The sequence below is a fragment of the Homo sapiens genome, chromosome 7 (assembly GCF_000001405.40).
Source record: "Homo sapiens chromosome 7, GRCh38.p14 Primary Assembly".
Taxonomy (NCBI): Eukaryota; Metazoa; Chordata; class Mammalia; order Primates; family Hominidae; genus Homo; species Homo sapiens.
In genome coordinates this window covers 45,859,994-45,885,412 of record NC_000007.14, presented here as the reverse complement: position 1 = coordinate 45,885,412, position 25,419 = coordinate 45,859,994, and the positions used below count along the sequence as shown (strand labels likewise).

General features: G+C 47.3%; 1 protein-coding gene across 2 annotated transcripts, besides 1 other annotated feature; it reads left to right on the top strand.

The window, feature by feature from the left end:
- Nucleotides 1-240: 240 nt before the first annotated feature.
- CCDC201 (coiled-coil domain containing 201) lies at nucleotides 241-25,419 on the top strand. 2 transcript variants are annotated; one of them, XM_047419863.1, is made up of 4 exons: nucleotides 241-510; nucleotides 18,105-18,302; nucleotides 18,919-19,377; nucleotides 22,242-24,351. In XM_047419863.1, exons 1-4 carry the CDS (start codon nucleotides 241-243, stop codon nucleotides 22,326-22,328), a joined length of 1,014 nt encoding a protein of 337 aa, XP_047275819.1. In that variant the 3' UTR covers nucleotides 22,329-24,351. The 2 variants fall into 2 exon arrangements, with proteins under 2 accessions (XP_047275819.1, NP_001382164.1); NM_001395235.1 differs by lacking the exons at nucleotides 241-510; nucleotides 18,105-18,302 and adding an exon at nucleotides 12,331-12,423 and having other exon boundaries at nucleotides 22,242-25,419.
- Nucleotides 6,345-6,863: an enhancer, noted in NCBI's record as "NANOG hESC enhancer chr7:45918149-45918667 (GRCh37/hg19 assembly coordinates)". NCBI's record gives its function as "activates a minimal SCP1, AML or CMV promoter by ChIP-STARR-seq in primed H9 embryonic stem cells {active_cell/tissue: H9 hESC(primed)}" and the evidence as "EXISTENCE:reporter gene assay evidence [ECO:0000049][PMID:30033119]".

Genomic DNA, 25,419 nt, shown 5'->3' with positions numbered 1-25,419 from the left:
CATTTCTGGGAACATTCATGAATCCCCAAGCCCCACTGCCCCCTGGCAGGGGTCACAGCCTGGCCTGCCTTTGGTGGTCCCAGTGCTCTGACTCACAGCTGACTGGGGAGGCTGGGGAAGTGCCCAGGGGAGACATGAAAGGAGGTGCATCTCTCAGCTCTGGGAAGTGCAGGGTGGGCCCTGGGAGAGAGGTCTCCGGACCTGCTGCACCTCAGCCTCAGTTGGCCTGACCCTAACCCCATGACTCTGGTCTTGCTGTTCTCAGTGCCTGAACTTCCATCACCCTATCATGCTTATCAAGTCCATGGTCTCTTCCATCCATCCCGGAAACTCTTTCTTGCAGGACTCTATCCTGATATCCCCCACCTCCTGCGGCTGCCCCCTCAGAATGAATTGCTCTTCCTTCCAGCTTCTCCATCTCAAGCTCCCAAGCTTCTGTCTGCATTCTTTCCCTCACCCAACAGTGACCGCAGTGGAGTGGAAGGGAGGTACCCTTCCAATGTAGGGCAGGTACTGAGCTAGGTGTGGGGGAAAGGAGTGATGGGATGCCCTACACTGAGCCACAGTCTTGCCCCCATCTAGCAGGAGGATGGTCTGTCAAGGGCGGGCTACTTACAACCTGACCCTTAGGATAAGTGAGGTGGGAAGAGACAGCAGGTCTATTTGTGTCTGGGTACGTCTCCATAAGCTGCTGGCCATGGCTGGTCTTGGAGGGTAAGTGGCCTTCCCCCAAGCAGCAAAGGGATGGGGTGTGCAATGTGGGAGAATAGAGATGATGGTGGGATGACAGCAGACAGCTGGGAAGAGTGCAGTGTGTTCAGGGAAGAGCCAGTAGTTCTTCCTGCTGGGAGCTGGAATAACAGGCAGGGAGTGGCAGGGGAGCAGGCAGGGGACCAGGCACAAAGAGGCCTGGAGGCTGTGCAAAGGGGTTTAGACTCCTCATTAGGGCAGCAGGCCACCACCACAGGGGTATAAGCAGGCTAAGAGAGTGGATATCCTTAGAAAGGAGGTTCTGAGTCAGGCAAAGTGGCTCACGCCTGTAATTCCAACACTGAGAGGCTGACGTGGGAGAATCGTTTGAGGCCAAGGATTTGAGACCAGCCTGGGTAACAAAGCATGACCCTGTCTCTGTGAAAATAAAAATAATTAGCCAGGCATGGTGGTGTATGACTGTAGTCTAGCTATTCAGGAGGCTGAGGTGAGAGGGTCACTTAAGCCCAGGAGTTTGAGGCTACAGTGAGTTATGATCACACCACTGTACTCCAGCCTCGGTGGCAGAGTGAGACCCTGTCTCAAGAGAAAGAGAGAGAGGAGAGAAAGAAAGGGAGAAAGAATGGAGGAAAGGGAGGAAGGAGAGAGATGGAGAGAAGGAAGGAAGGAAGGAAGAAAGAGAGAGAAAGAAAAAGAAAGAAAGAAAAAGAAAGAAAAGAAAAGAAAGAAAGAAAAAGAAAGAAAGATCGGTTCTGGAAGATCACCAGGGAGGGAGCCGGCGCCTGGGGACCCCTCATTCCTGCACCCCTTCTGAGCACCAACCAGACACCCAGAAGCTGAGGATCAGCCATGAAGGAGGCAGAGCCCCACCCTCAAAGATGTAGAGGGGGAAAAATAGTAAACAAATACTTTAACAAATGCACTGCAGCTTGTGATTAATGCATGAAAGAAAGAAAAGAACATCAGGAAGGGGAGTATGGAATGATGCTTCAGATGGGATGGCCCACATAGTGACCAAAACTGGTGAGAGGAAGAGTTAGAGACAGATAAGAAAAGTCAGAGAGCCATAGACGAGGTCCATGCCGTAGCTCAAGGCCCCTCGGACTCCCTGGAGCCAACTGCACAACTGTGTGCTTCCGTGTGGTCTTTGGGAGTCGTCATCGACTCTAATGGGCCTTTGACCACCCAAAGGTTGAGGACCATTCTGGCCTCAGTTATATCTTCATGGCACTGTTCCTTCCTCCTATGACCCCTTCTCCATCCCTGGGGACCCACCATAAATGTCCTCACCTCTGCACAGCCTGATTTCAGTGCCCCCCTGTGCAATCCTGATGCTTGATCTCACATTGGGTTATACTCATGCTGAAGAGCTAAAATAAATGCCTATCTACGTACTTCTGTGTGTGTGTGTGTGTTGGGGTGTGTGTGTGTCTCACCTGGTTTAGTGAACAGGGGACAAGCACATAGATGTCCTTCTGTCCAGCACCACACAGGCACCAATAGGTGCCCCATGCCCATTTGATAAAGAACTATGAATCCAATTTCACAGGACACCTGGAATCAGAGCACCAAGAGCAGGGAGGGGTGGGGGAGCTAGTGTTTCATAAACGTTTACTATACTGGGCATACCTCATGCCAAGCCACACATGCCAAAGTTGCCAGTAGGTCTCATCACCACCAGCTGGAGATGAAGCCCCTTCTTCACCCGAATCAAAGCCTTTACCCTTCCTGCCATACCATACAGGCATTTTATGTAGGCTAGGGCCAAAAATGTCTGTATGTGCAGGGGCAACTGGGAGCATATTTTGGGAGGCAGGGATGAACAGTTGTTTGGGGTAAGTGTGGAAAGCTTTCAGTGCTAGACATGGAATTTGTATTCAATCAACTGAGCAAAAAAGGGTATTAAACCGGGGACCAGGAGACCTCCTGCCGCATTGCAAATTCTCTGTGCTGCAAAGAAAAGGAAACCACTATCAGTGATTCAGAAAAGGTGAGGGACACATAATCATAGCAGTCCCATTGTGTCACTCCAGGGGGTGCCTATGAATAGGGCCACACACGGCCTCTGCCAGCAATTTGATGGCACTTCAGAACACATCTGTCTTTTTCTTGTGGGAACCGCAAGAACAAATGTTGACCGTTGCACTCAACAACTCAACTCTGACAATTGTGTTAGCCCTTGAAGGGGAGGTCATGAAAGCTGGGAAGTATCAACAGCAGAACAGCTCTGGAGCAAGACCGTTTGTTTTTGTGCCTTAGATTTCTATGTCCTAGCATGTTGCATAAAGCCCCTGGCCTCAGTTTTTTCACCTGTAAGATGGGGATGATGGATTGCCTGGTACAAGAAAGCACTGCATGAACAGGAGCTATTGTCATCCTGAGCAGCACGGTGGCTCGTTCCTGCCAACGGCAGAGGCTGGGACCTCTGGGGTGGTGCAGTCACACGGGTGCTTCCATCATCTGCTCTTCCCAATCCTGCCTTCGTGCAGTGTGCTGCTTACTCACCAGCAGCTGAAAATTGGGCAATCCATGCTCTGAAAAACAATACAAGAGTCAAGGGCAAAGTCAAACTTTCAAAGGGAAGAAATGCTGCAATCCAGGGACACCTCAGAAAGGAAGTTGTTTTTAACACGGGGAAAAAAAACAAAGTGATGTTTTGCTTATGTTCCATGATCAACACAGGGGATGATGTAAATCTGTGCAAAGGCCCGACGTGCTGCCCTTATCTCCCAAGCTGATGAAGGACACTGCTTGGCAAACTGATGGGAAAGTTTGAAAAAATAGCTCTCGCCCACACTCCCCACTAATCAAAGTGGAAAAGTCACCTAGCTCTTGTCACGTCAACAAAACCCAGTTTCTAAACACAGGAGGAGCACAGATGTGTCCAGGCCAAAGCCCAAGGGACCCTGTCAGAAGACCAGGGTCTGAATCTCAGTGTTGGCGATGGAAGCGAGGCCATCCCGAAGCATTTGCATTCAGGGTGCAGTGGGTTGGGTGAAAGAGGGCAGGTATCAAGTGCCAAACATAGGGCAGGTGCTCTTCGTCTTCATTCTGTTATGCTCTCCCCGCATCAAGGCTGCTCAGGTGACAGACCCCTCCTAATTTCTCACCTCTGGTAAAGGGGGGTGGGTTAGACCACGGTCACTCACTAATTGGCATTTCTACCTAGATGAGTAGAAAGGCCCATCCCCAGGCCCTACACCAACCCCAGACTCCGGCCTCTGGGGGCGCATCCCACACTCTGTTACTAGGCAAGCCGCCTAGGAGAATCTGTTGCATGCTCAAGTCTGAGGCCATGGGTTCACAAAGCACTTCTGGGCCCGCACTTGCACAAAACCACTCCATAAGAAGTGAGAGATTAGGGTAATGGACACATTTGAGGGAAGAAACAAAGAGGCAGAGCTATCATTGCTGCAGCTGGGTGGTGAGAGGGCCTGGGTGGTGGAGGGAAATGAGGACGAGCCACCAGGACACCAGAGCTCCCTGTTGCTCACTCCCAGGAGACACATGCATCTCATTCCCCCAAGAATCTTCGCCACCCATATAAAAACTAAGATGATTTGGTAGAAGATGACACTTACCCGGACCATGCATGGGCTTCAGGAAAGTCACGACTGTACTACGTTAGATGTGGTGTTGTTTGATTAACCCTGAATTCACTAGATGGTGGGAAGTGTCCATCACTTTGGTGAGGTGAAAATTCCCATACCAGTTTGGCCCCGTGAACTCATGCCATGACCCCCATGGGGATTCTGTCAGCAAGAAACCTCAATGTGCTTGTGAGGCCATCAGTCCAACACAAACACCAGGGCTGCCACTCACCCAGCCCATAATAGGTCACCCCACAGGGGCAGCAGGACCTCTCCCACCCCAGGATGGAGCTGTCAAATTACTGTCCTCAGGTCCCCAGGCCCTTGCTGCACTCGCTACACACACTGAGTTGGAGCAAAGCCTGCCAATTACAACACGGCGGCAAGCACTAAGGACAGGTGACCCTGGCTCTGCAGGACTTTGCGACATGGCCAGGCAGCAATGACCCTGAGGTAAAAAGAGTGGGAGTCTCATTCCCCAAGTCACAGTGTGCCCATCACGTGGGGTACCATCACCTGCATATAACGTGCCCATCACATGGGGTGCTGTCACCTGCATACAGTGTGCCCATCACCTGGGGTGCCATCACCAGCATACAGTGTGCCCATCACCTGGCAGGCCATCACCTGCATACAGTGTGCCCATCACCTGGGGTGCCATCACCCGCATATGGTGTGCATATCACACAGGGTGCCATCACTGGAGTTACCGTATGAGGATCATGTGTTTATGAAAACCACAGCATGTTACTTTTGGGGGACTTGGACTGTGGTTTGTTTCCAACTTTTCTTCATTACAAATAATGCTGCAATCATTTTAATCTTTCCTTTCCTTTCCTAATGATATTTTCTCAGGATAAAATTCCAAGTTTAAAATAATAAAATAATAAAAAATAACTCCTCTTCATCTCAATTTAAACAGCCAACAACAATGTATGAGAGTATAAGTTTCACTTCAATATCAGCAGTATTATATGTTGACGTTATCATGTTTGCAGATTCAGTAACTTTATTTTTTTGTGTGTGAAGACAGAGTCTCACTCTGTCACCCGGGCTGGAGTGCAGTGGTGCAATCTCAACTCACTGCAAACTCCATCCCCCAGATTCAAGTGATTCTCCTGCCTCAGCCTCCCGAGTAGCTGGGATTACAGGCACCCACCACCATGCCTGGCTAATTTTTGTATTTTTAATAGAGATGGGGTTTCACCATGTTGGCCAGGCTGGTCTCAAACTCCTGACCTCAAGTGATCTGCCTACCTCAGCCTCCCAAAATGTTGGACTTACAGGCATGAGCCACTGTGCCCAGCCAGATACAGTAATTTTAAAGCAATACTGTGTTAGGTTATTTTGCACTTAGTTGATTATTAATGAAGTTTATAGTTGATATGGTTTGGCTCTGTGTCCCCACCCAAATCTCATGTCAAATTATAATTCCCACTGTTGGAGGAGGGGCCTGGTGCGATGTGATTGGATCATGAGGGCAGTTCCTAATTGTTTAACACCATCCCCCTAATGCTGCTTGTTTGAAAGTGTATAGCACCTCCTCCCCATCACTCTGCCACGTGAAGATGGTGCTTGCTTCTCCTTTGCCTTCTGCCATGATTGTAAGTTTCCTGAGGTCTTGCCAGAAGCAGAAGCCTGTTCAACCCACAGAACCATGAAGAGATTAAACCTCTTTTCTTTATAAATTACCCAGTTTCAGGTATTTCTTTATAGCAGCATGAGAATGAACTAATGCAGAAAATTGGTGCCAGGAGTGAGGCATTGCTATAAATATACCTTAAAATGTGGAAGCTACTTTGGAACTGGGTAAGGGGCAGAGATTGGAACAGTTTGGAGGGCTCAGAAGAAAACAGAAGATGAGGGAAAGTTGAGAACTTCCTAAAGACTTTTCAGATAGTTGTGACCAAAATGCTAATACTGATATGGACAATTAAGTCCAGGCTCAGGAGTTCTCAGATGGAGATGAGGAACTTATTTGGAATTGGAGTAAAGGTCAATCTTGCTATGCTTTAGCAGAGACTAGCAACATTTTGCCCCTGCTCGAGGGATCTGTTAAACTTTGAACTTGAGAGAGATGATTTAAGGTATCTGCTGGAAGAAATTTCTAAGCAGCAAAGCATTCAAGACATGACCTGGCTGCTTCTAATAGCATCAGCTCATATGCATGTGCAAAGAGATTATCTGAAGCTGGAAATTATTTTTAAAAGAGAAGCAGAGTGAAAAAGTTTGGAAAATTTGCAGCCTAGCCATGTAGTAGAAAATAAAAACCCATTGTCTAGGGAGGAATTCAAAGCTGCAGAAATTTGCATAAGTAAAGGTGAATCAAACGTTAATAGCCAAGACAATGGGAAAAATGCCTCCAGGGCATTTCAGAGACCTAGGGGGGCAGCCACTCCCAACACAGGCCCAGAGGCCCAGGAGGGGCAAATGGCTTTGTGGGCCAGGCTGAGGGCCCTGCTGCTCTATACAGCCTTGGGACATGGTGCCCTGTATTACAGCTGCTCCAGCTCCAGCCATGGTGAAAAGTGGCCAAGGTACTGCTCAGGCCATTGCTTCAGAGGGTGTAAGCCCCAAGTTTTGATGGCTTCCACGTGGTGTTGGGCCTGTGTGTGCACAGAGGCAAGAGTTGAGGCTTAGGAGCCTCTGCCTAGATTTCAGAGGATGTATGGAAATGTCTGGATGTCCAGGCAGAAGTCTGCTACAAGGGCAGAGCCTTCATGGAGAACATTTATTAGGGCAGTGTGGAAGTGAAATGTGGGGCTGAAGACCCCACACAGAGGGCCCACTGGAGCACTGCCCAGTAGAGCTGTGCGAAGAGGGTCACCATTCTCCAGACTCCAGAATGATAGATCCACTGACAGTTTGCACTGTGCACCTGGAAAAGCTGCAGGCACTCAATGCCAGCCTCTGAAAGAAGCTGATGGGGCTGAACCCTGCAGTCCCACAGGGGAAGAGATGCCAAGGCCTTGGGAGAACACCCCTTGCATCACTGTGGCCTGGATGTGAAGTCAAAGGAGATTGTTTTGGAGCTTTAAGATTTAATGACTGCCCTGCTGGGTTTCAGACTTGCATGGGGCCTGAAGTCCCAATTTCTCCCTTTTGAAATGGGGGCATTTTCCAATGCCTGTACCCCCATTGTATCTTGGAAGTAATTAACTTATTTTGGTTTTACAGGCCCAAGGTGAAAGGGACTTTCTTTGTCTCAGATGAGATTTTGGACCTGGACTTTTGAGTTAATGCTGTAATGAGTTAAGACTCTGGGGGACTATTGAGAAGAAATGATTGTATTTTGCAATGTGAGAAGGGCATGAGATTTCACAGGGGCCAGGAGCAGAATGACACGGTTTGGCTCTGTGTCCCCACCCAAATCTCCTGTTGAATTGTAATTCCCAATGCTGAAGGAGGGTCCTGATGGGAGGTGATTGGATCATGGGAGTGGTTTCTAATGGTTTAGCACCATCCCCTACTACTGCTTGTTTGAAAGTGTATAGCACCTCCTCTTCCTCTCTCTCTCCTGCTCCACCATGTGAAGGTAGTGCTTGCTTCCCCTTTGCCTTCTGCTGTGATTGTAAGTTTCCTGAGATGACCTCAGAAGCAGAATCCTGTACAGCTTTCAGAAACGTGAGCTGATGAAACCTCTTTTCTTAAAAATTACCCAGTTTCAGGTATTTCTTTATAACAGTGTGAGAACAGACTAACACAATAGTTTTCCCTGCCTTGTGGTGCTTTACAAAGAGTACTGACCACTTATTTACATCCTGGGGTCAAAAGAAACCTAGAGCACACTGGTTGTGTAGAAAACAACATGTTATCTGTTGTGGTGGAGTTTCCACAAAAATATATTCAATGGAAATGGAAATGGGGGCAGAGAAGGGAAATGCAGGTGGAAAATCATGACTGTAACAATGTGGGTAGAAGATGTAGAGAGAGAAGGTGCTAAAAGTTGTTGAGTTTACCACATGCCACACACTGTCTTGAGGATTTTCTACACCTTATCACAAGACCCAGTGAGGGGCTCTCATCGTCCAGGGCTATGTGTCCCCTCCAAGGCCCATGTCAGCAAGATGACAAGAGCTGGGCTCTGAACCTCATCCTGCCACCACTTCCACAAGCACTGTATGTAACCCTAATGGGGTTTCAACATGGCTGACTAGCAGCCATACCCAAACTGGCAGCTTGGACTTCGATCGCATCTGAATTCAGAGCCTGTGTGTCCTGCGCAGTGAGAGGTTTGGGATTCTGTGCTGCAGAGCTTTCCTGGGACCCAGTGAAAAGAATGTGTCAGGCTCTAGGCTTGGACCCAGGAGCTTGCAGGCACATGCATGGCTTCTCCCCTGGCTGCTGCCCAGTGATGGCCATGACAGCACCTGACGGCTGCCACCCAGTGCCAGGCTAACACCACTGTGTGGAAACACACTTTGATTTCCCAATTATATTATTCACAGACACAAACAAAATATCCTTACACTGCCCAAACCAGTGTACCTATGTGCCAGGAGGTCACAGAGACCTGAGATTCAGGAGGTTGGGGCAACCCTTAAGTCAAGAGGTCAGGGCAACCCTAGAGTGAGGAGGCAACTCTGGGGACCTGGAAGTCAGAAAGCCCTGGGGGTGGCCTGGCCAGCTTTGTGCTGTATTTTGGGACATGAGATGGGGTCCAGGCTAGGTCCTTGGCAGCTCTGTGATCTTGGGCAAGTAGCCTGATAGCTCTGTGCCTCAGTTTTCCCATTGGCAAATGGAATAGCACCTGCCACATCAGATTTTTCTGTATCAGTCCTTGTGATAGAAAATAATTACACTATAGGAGGTCAGGGTTCCTCACCAGGTAAGAGGGTTGTCATGGTAGTCATTTGAGTTACTGTTTTCTTCCTTGTGCTCAAGAGGGCCCTCTGGGAAAGTCATTGTGGTTTCTTCGTCCTCTACAAGATTCAACATGGCCTCACCCTGATGGCTCTCTGATGCTGTCTGCCCCTCTCTCCTGCCCTCTGACCCCTTCTAACCAGGACACACTCTGCTGTCCTCTTGACTCCCCAGCATACTCTCCCAGTTTTAAGGTCTGACCCTTAATTCCATCAGCAAAGTCTCTTTTCCCATGTGACAGAACAGATTCACAGGTTCAGGGGAATAGGGCGTGGTCATCTCTGCAGGCCACTATTCTGGGGCCAAGTGGTACTTCTGACAAATACTTGTCATGTGCATCTGTTTCATCCTTGCCTGGAACTGTTAAGGTCTTATGACAGGGAACTTAGACTTTTGTGCTTTCAAAAGTAATTCAAGACTCCAGTCTAAGAACAAACCACTCTGTCCTCAGTCACGCCCAGGTGGCACATAGTGCAGGGAAGAGAGACCTGAGCAGGAACTGGGAACCGGGACCAAGCAGCCCCCGCTGCTTCACTCCAGTATTCTGCACAAGCCTCTCCCTTCTGCTGCCCTCAGTTTCCCCATCTGGAAAATGAATTGACGGTGCTAAGGGAGCTTTACCTTCAAACACTCTTATTCATTAGGTGTTGTTTTTAGAAAAAATGCGAAACAATTAAGTGATGTTAAAGTTTATCCACCATCCTGCCATCTGGATGTCACAAACGCTACCATTTCTGTGTGTCTCTTTTTGGATATGTGTGTACATATGTGCCTGTGTTAATTTTGTTCTTTTTTTTTTTTTTTTTTTTGACTGAAGCCTCCTCCTCCCGGGTTCAAGCAATTCTCGTATCTCCGCCTCCCAAGTAGCTGGGACTACAAGTGCACACCACCATGCCTGGCTAATTTTTGTATTTTCAGTAGAGATGGGGTTTCACCATTTTAGACAGGCTGGTCTTGAACTCCTGACCTTAGGTGATCCACTTGTCTCAGCCTCCCAAAGTGCTGGGATTACAGGCGTGAGCCACTGTTCCCAACCCTGTGTCATTTTTAAAATGAGATCACACTATACTGTCTATTCTATAGCTTTTTTCTCCTTTAATATATCACAAACATCTTCTCTGTAGTGTGTGTATGCACACATGTGTACATCCATGCACATACACATGTTCATACTCACATACTGGCTGCAAAGTATTCCTTCCCTCAGACTCATTCTAATTTATTTCATCAGTGTCCTTTTCCTGGCTTTGCACACTGCATCTACTTGGGCTTTTAAAGATAACACTCCATGGCTACCAGTAACAGGAAATAAGGAATGACTCAGTTTGATTATCTCCTGACATACTCATACAAGTGGAATTGCTGGTTCAAGGCCATCCATACTTTTAAGTGTATCATACATTCACACCAACTTGCACTCCAGAAAGGCTGTACCCCTAGAGCCCCACCCCCAGGGTAGAAGAATTTCGAGCCACTCTCAGCACTTGAACCTGGAGCCAGTCACCCGGCTGTGTTGCTCTGCGCCAACCAGGGCAAGTTGGGATGGCTCTCTGACAAACCCTTTCTAGTGCTCTCTGAAGCCTCAGGAAGAACCCAGGATTCAGGGATCTCAACCTCTCTTGCCACTGAGTGTTCTGAAAGCGGACAGTCAGAGGGTGAGGGTGAGCATTCACCGCAGGCCTCAGCTCTGCGTGCTGTACACAGGCCTGGGTGCTGAGAGCCGCTTAGCTCTGCAGCCGTGCCTCCTCATTTAGGTTCCTATGTGCAGATGTTTCAGAGCTGGGAAAGCCCTCACATAGCACTTCATTTTACAGAGAAAGGAGAGAGCCAGTGACAGCATTCATTCACCAAAATCACATGGCAACTTAGTGGCAAAGTTCAGAAAAACAATACAGAGTAGCAAGGGATAAAAAGCACTTATTTTGGAGTCAGACAGTCCTGGGTTCTTGTCTTGGTTCTGCTAAATACCACTAGGTAAACTCCAGCAATTTGCCCCACAACTATGGGCTGTCTTTCCCTTATTAAAACAGGCTTACTGGCCGTGCATGGTGGCTCACACCTGTAATCCTGGCACTTTGGGAGGCCAGGCGGGCAGATCACGCAGAGTTCGAGACCAGCCTGGGCAACATGGCAAAGCCTGTCTCTACAAAAAAGTACCAAAATTAGCCAGGCATGGTGGCATGCACCTGTAGTCCCAGCTACTTGGGAGGCAGAAGCAGAAGGATCCTTTGACCCCAGGAGGCAGAAGTTACAGTAAGCCAAGATCACATTGCACTCTAGCCTGGGTTACAGAGCAAGATTCTGTCTGAAAAAAAAAAAAAAAAAAAAGTAAGTAAATGAATAATAAAATAAAATAGGCACACTAAAAACTTTGCTTTGGGGTTGTTAGAAAACTGAGATTATGTCTAAGAACAAACTACCACAGATCATTCTAGTCGTTACTAGCTTCTGAATTGCTCTTTTTAGTTTCATTCCCCAAAAAAGTTAAGGCATGGTTAGAGATTACTATTAGTATAGATCAGCTTTAGTATAGATTGGTAAAGATTAATTTACCATTACTCTGTGGCACGTGTTGCCTTTCATTCGTGCAGTGGTTCCTAAGTGGACCTGCAGCAGAGCAACACCTGGGAGTCGTTAGGTGATACCAATCACGGGTCCCTGCCCAGGCCTGCCCAATCAGGAACTGGGGCTGGCCCAGCGCTCTGGGCTCTAACAAGCCCTCCAGGAGGTTCTGAGCAGCTCAAGTTTCAGAAGCACTCAATGAAGGACTGACTGGTAAGGAGTCTTCTGCAGAGAAACATACCTTGTAGTCCAGTGGTTGTGGGTCCTCTTTTCTTGACATGGAAACGTGTTTTTTTTTTTTTCCAGTTGCCTTGTGGATTGAGTTGGGGTGGTAATCTCCTTTCCCGTAGGTGGTTATGATGCACATCAAACAGTATTTGGCACAGGTGGCTTGTTGCTGGGGGGTGGGGGGGTGGGGCGCAAGTGCCCAGCCAGCCTTCACTTCCCACAGGCTCAGGTGCACACAACAGAAACCAACAAGGGGAAGACCTAGAGGGCGAGGGAAACCTGCCCCACACCTGTGCAATGGCGTGGCCGTCAGGCTAACTCTGGCTCGGGTGGGCTCCTGCATACCTACCTGGGCCTAAGTGGGGACACAGCAGGTATTTCTTGGTGCTGAGGGCCACAGGGTGGGCGCTGCAACTGCCCACTTGGAAGCCAGCCCCAGAGGCAAAGCAGGATGGAGCCTGGGGTGCAGGTAGGTGGGGAGGGGTGCAGCCTGGGAATGAGATCTAGCTGAATACAGTAAGAGGTGGCGGGTGGGTAGGAAGGAAGGGCCCTCAAGGCTGCCCGAGCAAGAGGTTGGTTGAGGACTGGCCTTAGGCCTGGCCCTGTCCTGAGCTGGCACAAAGCTGTGGCCTGGTCCTGGTGGCCTGTGGGTTGGGCAGGCCGGGCACTAACACCCTGGGGTCCTCGGGAGCCTTGCCCAGAGTCTCCTCTTGATGCCCACGACATGGCCTGCAGGAGAGATCTTCTGCCAGAGCCCTTGGGCTTCCACATCTCATCAGCCTGGGCTCTGAGGCCCCAGGTGTGTCCCAGGCCCTCCAGATTCCCCAGAGCCCACGCACAATCTCAGTGACATCAGGTGGGGTCAGACATTGTCCTGAGACACTGGGCATTGGTCCTCCTCCATCTCCTCCCCTGGCCTGTCTCATGAGGCCTTTGGAACCTCAGCATTAAGAACCACCTTAGCCACAGCCCTTAGGGAAAGCCAGGCCACCAAGGGGACCAGCAGCCCCAGGGCACAGTGACAGGACACCTCATGCTCTAGATGCAAAAGGAAATGCCATCCTGCAGAAGTAGATCACAATCCCACCTGAAGTTAAAACCTGTCCTTAGCACCCTGCGTTGCATACAGCTCTGGAGCCTACAGCTCCGCCTGCTGGATGGAGAAGTAACTCCCTCTCCCAACCCAGCAGTCCTGGGCACCCCATTCCTAGTTTCCCGTGCCTGGGCTTCTTCGTCAGAGAAGTAGGGATTCTTTTTCTATTTTTTATTTATAAATAGAAAATGCATGCCTGTGGTTTCAAAAGTGATCAAAAGTATAAGAGCATAAAATTTCAAAAGCATAAGATGCACAGTGACCACTGCTGTCCTCCAGCCCTTTCCCCACCATAAGGAAACATTGTTTTTAGCTGTTTCGAATATCCTTCTATAGAGTAACTCTCTAGAAGGGGAGTTGGTGTCCAAATAGAATACTAACTTACAAATTTGAGTGCTACCAAATTGCCTTCCATAGAAGATGTTCCAGTTTCCAAACTGCCTTCCATAGAAGGTGTTCCAGTTTCCTCCTTGTGTTGTCTAAAGTTTTCATACTTCTAAATTTTTGAAGTCCGATAGATAAAACCAAATGGGAATTTGGTTTCATTTTGATCTGCATTTTTATTACTGAGAATGAGGTTCAGCATGTGTATACTGAAGGACCAGTTTCTATGAACTGTTAAGAAACTGTGTGGATTTATCCATCAGGTTGTTGGATGTTTTTCTAAATAGGAAGATTCACTGCTTGTTTATCTTCTATAGAAATTGTGGTTCATCTTTTGTCTTTGCATTGGTGTATCTTTTTTCTTTCCTTTTTATTGTAGAAGTTTTTATAAGTTTATATGTAGTCTAGCTCTTTTATGGCCTCTATGTTGTAAGTCATAGCAAAGCCTTACATAAGTTTATAGATAATGCACTGATAGTTCCTTCTAATACTCTTATGGCTTTCTTTTCTACATGTAAGTCTTTAATCCACTTGGAGTTATCTTGGTGAACAATGTGATATAAGAACCCGACTTTGTTTCAGATTTTTAATTTTTTTGTTTTTTTTTCTGGTAATTTATGAATTTTTAAAATCTTAGATTCCTTGTCATTTATTTTAGTGTAAGCCATGAGTTACAGGGACTTGGCTTTGCTGTTATTATTTTTTTCCCAAGTGGCCAACCAGCCAGAAGAAGATGTGATGAAAGAGAACAAAAACACATTCTTCTCTAATTATTTGAGATGTACCTTCTGCCACATGACATCCTCCTATGCATGTCTGGGTCATCTGTTCTGGGCATACATTTGTAAAACATACTAAATTGTTTTCTCTGTAAGCTTTCAATATATTACAATATTTTATCAGAAAACATCAAATTATCAACATTTAAGTACTGATTTTTAGATCACTTTTATAAATAGATTAGTTAAAAGTAGTTTCTGTTAATAAAAATATACTTAATGTTACCTTGCAGTTTCTGTTTGATAAAAGTCCCAGTCTGTCTTCTCACCCCCATTTCTTAACTTTACTCTGAGATCTCAATCTCTTTTTTGAAGTTGAAGAATTTAAAGTCTTTCCAGTGCTGATTATTCTCCAAGTAACAAGATAATCTTCTATGGGATTTTGATTTTGTTGTTGTTGGTTTTTTTGTTGTTGTTGGTTTGTTCCTCCACCCGCCCGCCCCGTGATCTAGCATGGGCTTAAAAAGGTGAATCAGTCTCAGTTACTACTTTATTTCTGATTTTCTGTATTTTTTTCCTAGGAGTTCGCTCTATGAATGTTGATGCTGTATTGTCTGTTGTAATCATAACAGCTATGCATTTTGGTTTTGGGTTTTATTACACTGTACTTCCAGTTTTGGTCTTGTTTCATGTATTTTGCCATAAATTCAACCTTTTCCAATATAAATATTGATGTCCACATTTTTTCATTTGCATTTCTGTGGCATTATCTTTGCCCATAATTCTACTTTGAAGCTTTCTACAGTACTTTGTCTTAGGTATGTCTCACTGTATGCAATGTGTAGTTGGATTTTGCTTTCTAACCCAATCTCAGTGTTTTAATAGGTGAGTTTATTGTTTGCCTTTATTAACATGACAAATATATTTGGCTTCTAGTTCTTTCAGCTTACCAAAGGAGTCATATCAATGGTAAATAAATACATGAAAAGATGTTCAACTTCTTTACTCATTACAGAAATGCAAATCAAAACCACTATGCAAGTAAGATGCTGCTTGTGCAAATGAGATGCACTACTAGACTGTCAGAAAACTTTTTTAAAAATTAAAAATTGGCAGTGCCAAATGTGGGTAAGAATGTGGAGCAACTGCTGGCTGCGGTGGCTCACGCCTATAATCCTAGCACTTTGGGAGGCCGAGGCACGTGGATCACCTGAGGTCATCTGTTCGAGACCAGCCTGGACAACATGGCAAAACCCCATTTCTAATAAAAATACAAAAATTAGCTGGACATGGTGGCACATGCTTGTAATCCCAGCTACTCTGGAAGCTGGGCAGGAGAATCGCTTGAATCCAAGAGGCAGAGGTTACAGTGAGCTGAGATTGCACCACTGCACTCCAACCTGGGTGACAGAGCGAGACTCTGTCTCAAAAAAAAAAAAAAAATGTGGAGCAACTAAACTGTAAAGTAGCAGTTTTCCAGCTTGCCTGTACTATTCTTCCAACCCACCAGCAATGTACGGGATGCTGGTTGGTGGGATAGAAACATGGTGCAGGCAGGTTGGAAAGCAGCTTGGCAGTTTCTGATGCTGACTCATGCTGTGGAGTAAATCCTATCCTTCAGGTTATTTGGAGTTCACACAAATCCAGTTTTAAGGGCTTTGCTGAAGGAAACGATGTACAAAATAAACATACTCCAAGAGCAACACAGTAGAAGCTCTGTAAGTGGTCATGATCAACTCATCATCCCAAAAGGAGGAGGCACTCCCTCCCTCCTTTCCGGCCAAGACTGACGGGTTTGGGATGTGAAGCCAGACCTCCACAGAACAGTTGCTCCTGGGTAAGCCTTGGTTTCACCAACTCTAGTTCACACCTCATTGTTGCTGCTTCTGTTTCAGGCCAATAAGCCATCTGGGTTTGAATATTTCCTCTGGTGACTTGACTACAATTATACTTACCTCATAAGAATGCATAAGAAATCAATGAGAACAGATTTTAATGTTCCAGCACACTCTACTGAATAGATGGTTCCAAGAAGAACCTTCCTTAGACCACATTTTTTTTCAAACCTCTTCTGCCCTGGCCTCATTCTAAGGCCTTGGTGGGAAGTGAAACACATAGCTCTTTCTATACTATCTCATTATGCCACATTCAAATATTCTATTGTGCATGTTTTGTTCAAAAGAGTCAGTGACATGAGAAATCGTCAAGGATGTGGAAAACTATGTAACAATGTGTATTATGATTCCATTTATGCAGATACCTAAGTTTTTTCCTTTATATATGGAATGCATGTGTCATATTTGCTTACATGGAAATATGCTGGAAGGAGAGGTAACACAGTGCTAAAGGAAACTACCTAGAGGGAGAAGGACTAGAGAAAGGTTAAGACTGGACTTTCAACTGGACTTTCTAGTATAACTTGTTTGTTTCTATATTGTTTGACTTTAACAAGAGGAATTCACTTAGAAAATGAGAGCTGTGTTTAAGTGCTACAGCCCCTTCCCCTGAAAGCTGAGGGCAGGGTGGTTGAGGAAGGGTCCTCCCCAGAGTGGATGCAAAAACCATGTCAGAGTGCTGGCTTTGAAAAATACAGGGCTCATCTCCTAGGATGATGTAAGACTCTTTCCATTCTTTGTCCAGCCATCTGTGCTCTGAAGAGTGAGGGGAGTCCTGAGGCCTCACATTGGGGATGAGGTGGGAGAAGCCACAGACCAGGGACTGTGGCTTCTCCTTAAATGCAATTTTCACTATCTCTTCTATGTCAGCCAGTCCCTAAGATGGCCATCGGTGACCTTCACAATTTGGTAGTCATACCTTTGTGGGGTTCTCCCACACTGAAGAAAACTGACTGGTGCAAGCAATAGGTTTTGCAGAAATGAAGGAGTGTGACTTCTGAAGTTAGATTATACAAAGACATTGCAGCCTCCATGCTGTGCTCTTTTGGCCTACTCTCCTTGGAGAAGACTATTCTGTATCTGGAGGACACTCAACTAGCCCCTGGAGAGGCCAGGCAGAAATAAACTGAGGCCTCCCACCAATAGCTAGCACCAAATTGCAGGGCATGTGGGTAGTGAGCAACCTTGGCATAGAACCTCCATCCCCAGTCAAGCCTTCAGATGAATGAAGCCAATACCTCAATGACAGCCTCATGGGTGACCCCAAGCCAGAACTTCCCAGAGAGGCTGCTCCCAAATTCCTGACCCATAGAAATTACAATTACAGATGTCTGTTTTAAGCCACTATGTTTTGGTGTATTTGTTACCCAGTAAATAACTAATATACTTTCCCACCACTTTGAATGAATATCCCTAATCCATCTCAGGTTTAAAGCAAGTGCTCATCTATCTCTTTGTTCTAAGAGAAACTTAGCTCTCTATTACTTCACCATCATTAAAATGGTTTCTAGCTGTGCCTCCCCCAAAATTAACTACCAGATAATCCTCTCTGTGTACAAATGCATACAATAATTTAGCAAAGTGGTGACGTCCTTGAACTTATGACACAGTTATCAGCCTGGGAAGAAGCTGCAAGCCAGTCCTGAGCAGGTGGACTCCTAGGTGCAGCCCTCAGGGTTTCACCTTAGACTGGAGTGGACCTGTTTTCAGGAATGCTGATGTGCTTTTTTGAGTCTCTCCTAGGTACATTCTGCATTCTTGTGATTGCTGGCTCTGTCCAGGCAATGGACATGCACTTGCTAATTATACGGTATTGGCAGGCATGCATCAGGAAATGTTAAAATCATTCCATTTTTAACATTCTTTTCTTTTAGAAAAGTTCCAGTTTTTTCTACACCCTGAATGACAGTGGCTTCCTTAATTGATTTAGGATGTCATTGCCTGCAGCAGACATTGTAACTGGGCACTGTTACTCCTACTACCAAAAAATAAATGCCGGAAATTGTTCCATTCAAGTGGGATTAAACATAAAATGAAAAATCTGATATTGCTTTGGCAGTTACCTCCATTGGTAGTAAATCGGCCAGATGTGCGGAGATACCAGTTAGGAGCACGCATGTGTGTGTCTGAGACACCAAGAGATCATTACAAAGCAATTGGACAACTCAATCTGCTGTCAGGTCACTTTAACATGGACAGACTTCAAGGGGCACTGCAGAGGCACATACCTTATGGTGAACACAAATGTGCTTGCCGGGTATAGTTCATCAGGATCTGAGAAAAGGGTGTGAGTGCAGGAGCATGATTCACTTAAGGCATTCTTTTGGAAGAAAACATTGGCTGTGATGGAATTGTTACAGTCCATCCTGGGGCTTGGGGTTGGGATGTTACCTCCAGGGCACACAGCACCTACTGCAAGCCACCTGCCCAGTGTGCTTCACCTGTTCATAAAATACTACAATGTTTGTCAACAGTTTTGCCTTTTTATGTTGTGAGTCTACAAGTCAGGATGATTTCATTGACAATGCCTTACAGATTTTTCTTGGTGGAAAAATATGGTTACCTGAATGTTATCTATGCTTCAATCCTATTCTTGAAAAATACATCTCTGACAATGCTTACTGTTTTGACAATAATTACATCCATGAAAAGGCAAGCACAGAGGGGCGTGGTCTAGCCCTGTGCAGGGTTCCATCTCAGGGCCTGCAGTTCTGCCCCTGGGTTCTGCACACTCCCCTCTCTGGGCGACAACTTAGGTCTGCCTCATGGGGCCATCATGCTTAAATAAGAATGTGCCTGGGGTCAGAGTTTAGTGCCTGTCTCAAGGCTCCCCAGGACTTTCTAGGACTCAAAACTCTGTTTTTACTTTGCAGGATCTAGGATTGAGCTCCTCTGAGGATGAGAGCCCCTCTCTAGCAATCAGGAGCCCCACCTTGAGAAAGCCCCTGAAACACAGCACCCCTGAGGAGGCAGCCCTGGGTTGGAGCCCAAGGCCATCGGGAGGTGCCTCCTATCTCAGTGGGTCCCCAATGCCTGCACACTTCTCTCAGGACCTTGCATCCCACCCAGCAGGGGTCAGCCCTCCAGCCACTGTTAGGAAAAGGAGGCTTTCTACTCTCTGGGCCTCCAAGGAGTCCAGCTTGGATCTCTCAGCTCCTGGGGAGGAGCCGCCCACATCAGCCTCCTTAACCCAGCGGCAGCGGCAGCGGCAGCAGCAGCAGCAGCAGCAAGAGTCCCTCCGGGCAAAGAGCTGGGCACAAAACCCTGGATTGCCTGGGATCCTGAACACAACAGGGAGGAAGAGACGAGACCCGAAGAAGCGGGCAGCTGCGGTATGCATTAACCCTGTCCCTGCCCCATCCCTTTCCCCCAGGAGTTCTGGGTCCCTGTGGAAGATTAGGAGAGTGAGCACTGCTTGGGACATGGAGCACTCAACACCCTCCTTCCCCCAATTAATGCTCCCATGGCGTGGCATTGGGGGCCAACACACCCTTACTCTGCACATGAGGTCACATGGGACAGGATCAAGGCTGTCCAGCCTTTCTGACACCTGCTGCTGCCCTGTCCCAAGACAGCTCTCTGCTCTGAGGGCCCCCGTGACTGATGCTGCCTATGGTAAACATGAGCTTCCTGGCCTCATGGTCTGGCATCCAGACCCAGGCTGCCGCTGGCTGGCTGCTTTGTCATTGCTCTTTAGCTCACAGGAGTCTGGGTGATGACTCTTTCAGCTTTGGGGCTTTGCAGACATGTTGGGGTGACAGGGAAGGTCTGATATGTCATCTTGTTACAGAATAGCAGAAAACAGCCTATTCTAGTAAAAATCTGCCTGGCTGTGCTGAGTCTCTTGGCATCTTCCTATGCTTTGAAGAGGGAGCTGTTACATTCCTGGAGCACTCCTGCATTTCTAAGGACCTGGCTAGGGTGGCTCTGGTGTCTTTCCATGGACCATTGTGACAGGGATGTCCCACCTTCACCATAGCCAGGTTTGCAGGCCCTTGCCACAGCTGGAGAACCAGCAGGGCACACACTGTCTCAGACCTACTTTTTACTCTCAGAGGCCATCTTCTTCCTTTGCTAATTGGAGATGCTGTGAAGCTGAAAGGACCCAATGAGAAGAGGATTGCAAGGGCTCTGATCCCCAGGGTAGCAGCCAGTTGGGAGGTGCCCTGGCCCTCTCCTGGCAGAATTCTGCCTCCTCGCCCATTTCCTGGTTTATCCTCTGGCCTTGTTCTAGTAGCTTCCTGAGAAGGGGCACTTTTCCGGCCAGCAGTCTTGGAGCCCTTTCTCAGAACTGGAAGGCCCTGTGTGCCCCTGTCCCTGACTCCCACCTGCCCAAGCCTCTCCAGGTCCCTTTTGTGGTTCTTGGTGGTGCTGAGTTTCATTTTGGGGTGAGTAGTCTTGCTCAGCTGCAGGACACTCCCTGGGCCCATCTGACTCTGGAAGACCTTCCCCTACTTTTCCTTCCTAACCTTGGGCTCTGTGTTCTTTCTCCGTCTGTGATCCTCTGCAGTTGGATGTTGGACATCCTGATTGATTCTCTGAGTTTCTTTTCTATTTGCTATTTAGCCCTTTCTTCTACTTTTTAGGAGAGTTGCTCAGTTCTGTCTTCCGAGGTTACTGCATGATGATATTTTCTTCCTTGCCACACTCCCTCATGTTCTTTACCCTGGCTTGCTTGCTGTCTTCTCTCACCTTCTGAGGGTGCTGATTTTGCAGTGGAGTTTTCCAGCCTCTCTTCCATGCCCTGCTGTCCTGTGGCTGTGCCTGGCTGCTGCCTCCCGATTTGGAGGGGGCCATCACAGGGCTGGGTGGGAGCTGACGGAAAGCCCCGAGTTCCGAGTGGGAACTGTCCACCAAGGGTCACCCGGGGGTTAACTGCTTCTTCACTGCACCACATCTGCCACCTCTTGCTAGTCAGCATCCCCATGGGTTAATGTTCCCACCTGCGGCCAGGAGAGGTGGGACTGGCTGGGGTATTCTGGGAGCTGAAGGTGAGAAGGGACCTGAAGCTCTCACTATGGGTAGAGCTTGTGGGGAACAACCCATGTGGAACGCATGTTGTGGATGCTCCCGATGGAGCATCCCAGCGGCCCCCAGCTGAGCCTGGATCCCCACAAGGCCCCTCTGTGGGATCAGAGGCTATTGCATCTTCCTCAGTCGCTGTGACAAACTGAGTTTCTGGGAGTCCAGACAGGCAGTGCCTGCGCCACACAGCCCTCTGAGAGCCTCAGCTCTCAGCAGCCTCCCTAGAGGTCACCCTCTGTGGACGGACATAAACACTGGGCACCAGGAAGGCAGCCCCTGCCTCGGGTAGGGAGGGGCACTGGGAATTCGCTGGTCCTCCTACCAGATGATCATGGGATCTTGCAGACCCCAGCCTGGCCCTCTCTGCTGGCCAGCAGTGGTGCTTAGAGCTTTGGCCACTCTGTCTCTGCTCCAGGACGCCTCCCGGTGGCTCCTGCTGGCTCTGGCTCAGGCCTTCTGCTCTTACAGCTGGCCCTCTGGAGGCCACTCTCGTTCCTTATTCTCAGTCCTGTGGGTTTGCTTCTGTCTTACACTTTCAGGGCGTTAGGAAGACACTGACCACTGACCCATGGTGGGCCTGCCATTGTTGGCCAGCGGACCCCAGCTACACTCCACGTGATCTGACTCAGCCACCCAAAATCCCCAGGTTCCAGTCTCTACTCCATCCTGGCATCGTGTTTAGTGTCAGGAGTTTACCCATCCTCGTCTTCCCTGTGCTGAACTGGGGAGGCCTCCTTCATTCCCTGCTGCAGCTGCCCTAAACACCCTCCTAGAAGAGGGGGTTCTAGAGAGCACAGTTACAAAATCCCATCTAGACTGACCTATGCACCTGTTCCCACGCAGGCTCGTCTACTCCATGCTCGCAGCCTGTCTGCCCCTTCCCTGGAACTTTTTGTCCCTGTCCCCTCCTTTGTCAGACACAGACTTCATCTGCACCTTACCCCATTCACCTATACACTCGTCTGTCTCCACACCAAGAGTGGGCCCTCTGGGTGGCACAGTATCCCATTTGAAGTATGTTTGAAGCACACAGGCAGAATTGTATAGGGCTGGCTGGGCCAGCTGCAGACCTTGAGTGGGCATTTATTTTCTAAAGCACATTTTGCAGCAGAAGAGCTTGTCTCCAGTAAAGATGGATGCTGCTATGGGGTGATGCCTTTCCTTTAAACAGATGGAGCGAGTGCGACAGTGGGAGATCTACGTGCTTCAGAACATTGAGGAAGCCACCCAGCATGAGCTCACCATCGAAGATGACTGAGTGCTTGGTGCCAGGACAGGAAGGCAGGGTGCTCTAGAGCTGCCTGCCTTGGGCTGGCTTCATCGTCCACATGGTGCCCTCCTTGGGCTGGCCCCCAATGCTGTTGCCCTTCTCCATGGGGTGGGAAAAACAGGTTTGAGAAGATCCTGTTGCTTAGACTGTAAATGTGTTTCTGGGAGGCATTGACATTGATGAGGGTCAGCAGAGGTGGCAGGTTAAAGAAGACAAGGCTCTGCATGGTGTGTAACTTGAGCCCTGGGTTTTCCACTGCCCAGCTCTGGCCTTGGAGACAGCTCTCTGCTTGTCTGAGCCTCAGGTTCCTTACCTGACACATGAGGAAACCCCATCCCAGACTGATGAAATGACTGTGGAGCTGATGTCTAGGCGAGGGCGGCCGTAGCCACTCAGCCTTCTCAGGAAAGAGTTGGGCCAATGCCCCATGAGCATATTTGAGACAGCAGGATTGAAGGCCTGAAGCAGGAACTGGAAAGAAAATCTCTGCACTGGATGGTGGGTTTCCAACCCTATGGTTATGGTGGTCTCATTGGAGCACCAATGGTGAGGGATGTATGTTCCCTTCCCTTATGTGGAGAGGAACCAGGTTTTGAGAGGAGGGGAGTGCCCATAGTCCCACCCCTAGAGGGTACCTACCTCCTTCCTCAATAGGCTGTAGGAGAAACCAGACTGTGGGATCCCAGGATGTTTGCAGATAAAGGCAAGGAAGCTTAGAGGAACTCAGAGGCCAGTCCACCCACACTGCATGGCTGAGAAGTCTCCAGGAGTCACCACACCTGGTATCAGGGGCAGGGTAGGTATCCTAGTGAGCCTGAAATGCCACTCTAGGAAAGCCCCAAAACCGTGATTCTCACCTGGAAGGCATTCTGGAAATCTGAGAGTGCTGGCTGTGTTTGTTGAGTGTGTAGGGCTAGAGGAACTTAACCTTTAACAGTTACATGGGCCAACCCCCTACACTCTCCAACGCTGTGCTCCCTGCTTAACATCAGGGTCCCACCCAGGTGATCAATAATACGAAGGTAATACATATTGTAAGGAAGAAGAAAGAGATGTCCAGGTAGCTTCAGTTTAACCCAAAGTCAGCATCAATTCTCCCAAGTACAGGCATCTCAGCAAGACCTGTTTGTGTGGACATGTTATGGTTACTAAATACAGAGCTAGAGTTTATTCATATAAATGTTTGCATCATCCACTCTAAAAAGCTTGCTTTCTACTTCCTAAAAAGAATGCACACATTTCCAGCCTAGTCCTACACTGCCTCCCTTCAAGTGTGCGGACAGGTGGGCTGGCATCTGGAGTCAGTGAGAAGGGCAACCCCTAGATGAAATCTGAGACTGGCTTAAAACATAGGCTCAGACTGGCTTAAAAGATAGGACATAATAGATTCTAAGGGCATGTGAGGTCTAGGATGTTCAGTTTTAAGAGACAGGTGAAAAGTTTAGATCTGCAGGGTGGGTGGAAAATATTCCTGATCAATAATTGGGTTCTTCCTGGAAACACCCACATTTCTTTGGAGGTTTCCAACAGAGAATGAGATTCTTCACAGGAGGGATTAGATATAGCGGCTGCAGTTAGACAGTAACTTCATATTTCATTGGATGTTCTATATGAGTGATAAAAATTTATTTACTGTGTAGTGTGTTTAAACATTTATAGGTTTTATGAACTAGTTCCTCCTGTATAAGCTATTAAAAAGTTTACTTTTTTCTTTTTTTATAACTTATATATTATTGGGTTACAAAATTATCAGATTTAAAAAATGTTTATTTTACAAATTAGAGTACAAAGAAGCAGAAAAAAACTGCCTATATTGCACACCATAGAGATAAATACATCAGAGTAATTCTTTCCAGTCTTTACTATTAAAAATAAACTGTTTTCATGAGAACTATTCCCGTGGTCTGTGTTTGATGCAAAGTGATTCAGGCATGTAGTTATGTTTCTATCTCGTTTTTCAAAGAATGAAATTCAAATTCAAAATGAGTCCCTGGAGGAAGAAAAATAATGTGAGTGACTCTGGGGAAGTGTGTCCTTGAAAGATTGGGAATTATCAGCACTCAGAAGAATGTTTTCACATATAAGATGATTTCCTAGATATTCATATTGCATCTTCTACATATTAGCACAATGTACTTACTATGTTTTTACATATTTGGAGTATATGCAGTTATCCATAGGCACTCTAGTTAAAGTGTTCAAAATGCAATCTCTTGGATTTCACAAATGGTGCACATCACATGTTCCATCCATGGGAAGATACCTACAGGAAGCAGCTAAAGACAGAACAAGTCTTGCTGCCCCAGCGCCTAGACATGCCTATGGAACTGAGTCTCTGTTTGGCTGCTACAAAGCTTTCCAAATTCTTGGGGACAGGAGACGATGAGAAACTTAGAAAGGGAGACAGGGCATTCTCAGACTGAGGGACACGGAGAAATGAGTGCTGCCCGCTTATGTTAGACATAGGGCAAGATTTCTAAATGATCATCTTTGAGGAAAATAATAAACAGCTAAACAATAGCCCTGGTAATAACACCAACAATGCTCACTTAGAGGTAAGCATAATGTAACTTGCAGCAATTATTTGGGATAAAATAGATCTTAACTCTCACTGTGTATGCGAACCCATGTATTTTGCAGAAAATGCAGTTTTGAAACCTGTCAGGCCCCTGAGCCCAAGCTAAGCCATCATATCCCGTGACATGCACATACACATCAGATAGCCTGAAGCAACTGAAGATCCACAAAAGAAGTGAAAATAGCCTTAACTGATGACATTCTACCATTGTGATTTGTTTCTGCCCCACCCTAACTGATCAATGTATTTTGTAATCTCCCCTACCCTTAAGAAGGTTCTTTTTAATCTCCCCCACGCTTAAGAAGGTTCTTTGTAATTCTCCTCACCCTTGAGAATGTACTTTGTGAGATCCCCCCGCTGCCCACAAAACATTGCTCCTAACTCTACCGCCTATCCCAAAACCTGTAAGAACTAATGATAATCCCACCACCATTTGCTGATTCTCTTTTCAAACTCAGACTGCCTGCACCCAGGTGAAATAAACAGCCATGTTGCTCACAC